The sequence below is a fragment of the Homo sapiens genome, chromosome 7 (genome assembly GCF_000001405.40).
Source record: "Homo sapiens chromosome 7, GRCh38.p14 Primary Assembly".
NCBI classification, from domain to species: Eukaryota; Metazoa; Chordata; class Mammalia; order Primates; family Hominidae; genus Homo; species Homo sapiens.
The window spans coordinates 120,747,394-120,754,478 of NC_000007.14; the positions used below are offsets into that span (position 1 = coordinate 120,747,394).

A 7,085-nucleotide genomic window follows, 5' to 3' on the forward strand; every position below is an offset into this window, starting at 1 on the left:
CAAATCTTACTTGAAGCTCTTTCTTTCTTACATTTTTTTATAATACATTTAGTTTGATAAATACTTGATGGAACCAAGTCAAACTGTCTTTTAGAAATTTATTTAATGTTAATTACTATGTTCATCTTTAACATAGATTAAGATTTGGTGTTTCATATTTTTAATTATAATAACTTTCCTTAGACAATTAAAATATTTTTATAAGCATTACAACACATATTCTTCAGTTGTATGAAAAACATTTTAAGTAAACAACTTACTTTCCTAAATATTTTTTTTTCTATCAGCCGATCCAGTTTAAATGCCAAAATGGAAGAGTGTGTTAAACTAAACTGTGAACAACCTTATGTGACTACAGCAATAATAAGCATCCCAACACCTCCAGTAACCACACCAGAAGGAGACGATAGGCCAGAATCCCCTGAGTACTCAGGAGGAAATATTGTCAGAGTTTCTGCTTTGTAAGACAATTGGAATAAGGTCTAAGAGAATTCGAGCCCTGGCTGTGAAAAGAATCTCAACATAGAAGAAAGAAGAAACAATAAATATTCTGCAGATTAATGCAGCAAAGAAAGAAGGTTGGTAGTGAAACACAAAGCTTCCAATCTTAAGGATGTGAATAAAACCACCAAATGGCATTTCTAGACAGTTTGACCTGTTATACAGAGTAATATTCTGTGGCCCTTTGACTTTGTGAATGAGCACAATGAAATGCCGCCTACTGATGCTTCTTATGATCAGAACTCTTTTTTAATAAAATAAATAACATAAATCGTTGAACATAATGTTCCAGTTGAATGCAAAACAAAAAAAATATGGAAAACATTTTGATAAAATTTTTTCCTGTTAAAACCATGAACATTGGCTATGATGAAGATTATTACATATGAAAAAAAAACTCACACAACATATTTGTATTGACTGAAGGAAACCATCATAATGCATGCTAGAATTCTTTGAAGCAGTGATCTCAGTTTCCTTATGTTGTCTTCAGAATAGGCATGATAAACTATAATTGTAGAAAGGGGTAATTTCTGTGCACTTACAACAAGCTGAGTGTTCATGTTCCATGGTGGGCTGTGCAAATAAACTCCTTTTAGACCTGCAGTATTTCTCATGGGGATGCTCATTAGTAAATCTAAAGTGTTCAGATAGTTCAGTATTCATTATCGTTTAACTTTGCACCTAGATACTGTTACAACTGCAATAATTTGTTGTACAACTGTTGTATCAGGAATCAGGATTTTTTTGTTGTTGTACTTTCCAGATCCTTATAGATACGGTAAGAGCCACATTCGTAGAAAAACTTCTGGTGTGGCCAGGTTTTAGGTAACTTTTTAATCCAAAACTATTGTGCCATAAATGTTTTTCAGTAATATTTTTTGGTCCACTGTATTCCTGTGACACAGTGCATTATCTGTTCTTGTATTTCTATAGCACCTCTCTATTGGGTTTATCATCATCAACAAGACTACTGTTTACTGTAGTTCAAGTGACTTTCCTACTTTTGTATTTCCAAAAAAAATTATCTTGTAAGTAGCTTGTCATCAATCCCCTTGTCGAAAACTAGAAAAAAAGGAGTTGACCCATATAAATTATCTCTAACGTCTTTGTTGTTTATGGAAAAGCCCAGATACTGGATATATCACTATGTATTTTATGAACAGAATTGACTGGGACTAATATCACAGGATCAATCATCTCAGAATCTTACTTGATGCATTATTTATTTTGCTTTAGATCTTGAATACATTTTGAGAATAACTAATGTGGATTGAAATGTAGAGATACACTGGAGTGCTTTATTTAGCAATATTTGATGAAAGCATGCTTTCTACGCCATTCAGGAAGGCAGCACAAATTTATCTCAGAAAGGTTCCTGTGTATTGCAAGGTACAATTTTCTCCAATAAATCAGGAGAACAGGAGTTTGATGATGCAAAGTTGATCTCTGTACATTTAAGTGAAAAGTCTTTATAACTTTTCACCCTTAAAATATTTCAGCAGACATGTCTGCACATGACAGTGTAAAAAAGTTTAATGTCAAATGCAAAGTTTTTATTCATTCCAAGCCACCACTGTAAGGAATAAAGCTTAGCTTCTGTACATGGAAAGAGCTAATAATTATCCCTCTGTCAGAGATGAGATTTTTAAATGCTTATGATATTTAATCATAAAAAGGGATTAATCCAACCATTTTCTAGTAAAGCCAGAAATTCTTGCTTCCCATTTCTAGAATAGTTTCTAGAACAGTGCTATGCACATATTAGATCTTAATAAACATTTGCTGAGTGAAAGTAAGATAAACTCAACTATCTCTTGGGAAGAACTGGCTTCATTCCTAGTACATCTTTTAAAAAGTTACTAATTTTCCAGCAGTACAAATATTAACAATTATATTAACACCTGCCTCATGTCAGTTTATGCTTCTAGAGCAATGTCTAGTGAAACTTATCTGATGGCATTTATTGAAAACCTTCTAAAAAGTAGACTAAGGAAACCATAATCAGAATTACTATGTCTTTTGATTCCCAATGAGAAGTTCTATTTTCATGTTCTTAATATTACATACAAGAAAATGCAGTTAGGTTATTTCAATTGACAATTCTGCCTCCTCTTTTGATTTATCACTTACCCAAAATTATTAATTTTATTAGGCTTTTGGAAAAGAAAAAAAACTTTTTGATGTTTTAGGTGATTTAAAAATATACCGTGTTGGTGGTGAATGACTATTGATGACTGTGTTAAGTGCATCTGTATTGTAAGTGAAATGTAATTATTTCTGTGTACCATATGGAGTAACTAAGGTCATTGTTTTTGACAATTTTGTTTGAAATTCATATATCTTATTTCAAAGGATAGCATAATATCTGCATTATGCTGGAAAAAAATAGACCTTTGGAGAATACTTAAATAAAACATGTGCATGCTTGAACAGGACAAAATGTTGACTGTTGCCCTATTTTCTTAGATTTCATTCCTTTCCCAAAATTAGGATATGCCACACTCATAATACACATGTTGGAGGACCTTGTGAGACATACAACTCAAAGGACACAGCAATTGAAAGTAATGCTTAAATCTCATCTGAATGGGTGGAGACAGTAGCTTTTGCTAGTAATGGGAATTAAGGCAGGGACTTTAACAGAAAAGATAGTATCAATTAAGGAAAGCCAGTCCCTGAACCTTATATACTTCTTAAACACCACTACTTGCATTAAGCAGAGAAGCTCAGGGGTAATGGTTTTGGTCAGAACTTAAATAAATTCTTAATCAAAGGCTTTATTCTACCTAGGAAAGCGGGGTGATTTATTTGCCTAGCCATTTGTGTGCATGTATGTGTATATGTAGATATAAATTTGTTCATACACATATACATAGATTTTCATTCATTTTTAATATGCAACCACTAATGGTTTCTCTTAATATCTTGAAAGGGCTAAAAAGCAAGAAAATGTTAAGAGTTTATAGAAGAAGGAAAAAGACACAAAGGAAATTATTTAGTAGAAAGACTGATTTTAACTGGTGATATATATGGTCCTCTTGGTGGATAGTCTCTATCTTTTCTTGTTAATTATTTTCATTTATAGCCTTTGATTTATTAGGTATCAATCTTGCATTAAAAAGTTCAATATGCCTCCCTATTCCTTCAACTTAGTCACAATGTTGGCTTAGAAATAGCCTCTTGGGAGCTATAATGTGTCTGCCAGTAACATTGCTCAAAAGAATAAAAAAGGGTTCTTGAAAGTAAATTGATAACTCCTTAGAGTTTCATAAGAAAGGCATCTTCTCTTCCCTACAGTGTCATTAAGGTGTTTGTTTTATTAACTCACTGGTACAAGAATGGTTATTACTCTGCACTGTGTAAACATCTGAATTTTCAACACAATTGTGTAGGCACACAGTATTTTTTTAATGAAGGTTTAAATTGTACCTACGAAGGTTTAAGTCTTATCTACTTCAGCTGGTTGTATTAGGATACTAAAATATTCTTTACAGAGTTTGATTTTTTACTTCTAAGGAATTACTAGCTTTGAACAGCAAGTTTGCTTAAGATAATTATAAAATATAATTTTACAAAATATTTTTAGTTGAAAATAATATTAAATACATAGCATACCTTTAATCTTTCTCTTTACTGCCTGCCCTGCCTTTTTTCTCCTTTATCTTCAAGCATTAATTATTATTGTAGCAGATCTTTGCCTTTCCCTAATTACTTTTTTCTCTAGCTTTTCTATGGAAATCCTTTAGGTTACATAACTAATATTCATTCTACATATAATCCAGTTTATTAAATACAGATGATGGGCCAGACATGGTGATAGAGAAATACAGATTAAGAAACCAGATCAAATCCTTTTTAAGGAATTATCTAGTGGAAAATATCTCAACTCTCTTCTTTACACTACTATTCATTATCTTACACTTCAAATCTTCACCTTTCCATTTTGACAGTCGCTCTTCTACTTCAGTCTCCTGAAGACATCTCTCCAACAGAAGTTACATAAAAATACTAATCTTCAAGGTGCTTTCTAAAATATTTTCATCACGTCATTAAAATCTTCTTTCACTAGGCAATGGTTCTGTCTCTATGGGGGCTGGCAGGCAGGGCAAATGAATTCCTACCTGCCCAGAGAAAGAACAGGAAACAATAAAGGTAAAACAAAACCCAAAGGAAGAAGAGCTTCATGTTTATGCATTACATTAAAGTTAAAAGGAAATAAACTTTCTCAAGTATCCACTCTACCTTTTCAACTATAATTTCAGAGAATGTGAAGAAAGCTATTAAAATAGTTTTGCAGGAGGACTGATACACAATGCGTCTGTGAATCTGAACACCACACCTCAAATTCTATTATCTGATGAATCCTATTGAAATATCTGAGTAATTGGGACAACAGAAAGGTAAGTCTGTAATCAGGGGCACTCACCAATAAGGCGGGCCTAGTTGGTTCATGTCAATTCCAAAGCAAGAGGATGGTTGAAGAAGGGTATTGAATGAGTAGATAACAAATATTTGGAGAGAGATTTGGAGGAACCCTGGAAGACAAGAGTAGGCTATTGGCAAGGGCTACAAGATGGTAGAGACATCCTTGGGCTTTGACTCTAATTGAAAATACAGAATTTTGGCCTGACGCAGTGACTCATGCCTGTAATCCTAGCACTTTGGGAGGCTGAGGGGGGTGGATCACTTGAGGTCAGGAGTCCAAGACCAGCCTCATCAACTGGTGAAACCCCATCTCTACTAAAAAAAGAAAAAAAAAAAATAGCCAGGTGTCCTGGTGCATGCCTGTAATCTCAGCTACTCAGGAGTCTGAGGCAGGAGAATTGCTTGAACTCGGGAGGTGGAGGTTGCAATGAGCTGAGATTGTGCCACTGCATTCCAGCCTGGGTGACAGGGGGAGACTCCGTCTTAAAAAAAGAAAAAAGAAAAACCAGAATTTTAAAGTTCAATTTAGATCAAATTAATTCCTTGGTTAGAGCTACAAATTTCAGCACCAAAAATTCTCTTAACCTGTTACCAGTTTTTAATAGTCATATACCAATACTGCTCAGACATCTCCTACAATGCCTGCAAGATGAAGAACAGAACCCTAAAATTAACAGAATAAGCTATTTCTCCAAGACATGTGAAAGGGAGTTGAAAGAGCCAAGGCTGAGTGGACACTGAATTGGGTAGAGGGGTTTGTTAAATTTCCCAATCAGAGACACCTTCTTGGAGAGGCAGAAGATTTCATTACAGAGGATATAACAATTTTGAAAGTAAAAATGTCATGTGCATCATAATTTTACACAGCAATCATTCTGGACATGCATTAATTTATCGCCAATCAATCTGGTAAAAAAAAAAAATGTAAACCCACAGAAGTAAAATCCTAATGCACTCTTTTCATTTTACACTTTCTTCAATAGATTAACAGTGAGTACTAAATAATGATGATTACAACCACCATGGAAAGATAACAATAATGACTGTTAACTTTACTGGATATTAAATATAGGCCAAGCACTGTGCTAATGACTTCACATGTATCAATCCATTCAGTAATTATTAGCCACATTTCCTGATGAGAAAACTTTAACACTGAAAAATTATGAGTGTGGGTTTTCCTAATTTAGATAATATAAAATTTTAAATTAAGTTATGTATTTCTATGACAGAGTTCTATTGCATAGAATTATTGATGTTATTTCTTCTTCTAGGCTAACAGATAAATTAAAAGAAATGGGGGTGGGACACAGAGGGAGGCCTGGGCATACCTGTGCTCTGGTGATTGTGGTCATTATCAAGGATGATCATTTTTTCTTCCCATTTTCTTTGGTCCAACCCATTTTATCATCTTGTTGTGTTCTGATAATAACTGCTTCCTAATTGACTATTGGTAAATTAAAATAAAATGGGACCTGGCTAGGAAATATATTAGTGTCCTAATTGACAAATATTTTTCCAACAACTCCATATCAGTAAAGCATACACATTTAGTTAATTTTCTAGTAACAGAGATAATTATGTGTTAGAGCATCTATTATATCTCACTTGCTCCCCTTTTTTTAACCAATGGTGACCAGGTTGGCCTCTAACGTGTAGCCTCACCTCCCTGAGTGCCAGGGCAACCAGCCTGAGCTACCGTGGCTCCTGCTCCCCTTTTTTAATAAGGTCTGCCACAATTTTCAAAGTTGTTTATTAGGGCTGCAGTTATAGCCTTCAGCATCTAGTTGGTGCACAGTCCAAGTCCTGGAGGCTGATCATAAAACAGAAATATTTTGGAATTAATATCAATAACCACAATTCTCATCCTTTATCTTTTGTATCTTCCTAAATTCTTGCTGGCAAAAATTTCGGAGGATAGGAGCAAAGTGCCTATTGGCATTTAATACCACATACAAAATAAAGTGCAGAGAGATTCAGATAGGCAAAATAAGTGCATAATTCAGTATTCCAAGTTAATATAATATAATTAAAAATACGATTGGATTTTTTTCAATCCTGTTGTTGCAATCCATCCTCAGAAACATTTCTAAAATTTTTCTGAAGGTCATTGAAAATTTTTATTTGTTCCTAATAAAATAAAACCTCCAATAAAG

At 33.8% G+C, this 7,085-nt stretch overlaps 1 protein-coding gene across 2 annotated transcripts in view; it reads left to right on the top strand.

The window, feature by feature from the left end:
* KCND2 (potassium voltage-gated channel subfamily D member 2) overlaps nt 1-2,944 on the top strand; it is a 477,430-nt gene extending 474,486 nt beyond the window's left edge. For both annotated transcript variants that reach the window (XM_047420346.1, NM_012281.3), the window contains one exon: nt 288-2,944. In XM_047420346.1, the coding sequence (XP_047276302.1) occupies nt 288-465 (178 nt within the window). In that variant the 3' untranslated portion in view covers nt 466-2,944. The remainder of the gene's footprint in view (nt 1-287) is intronic.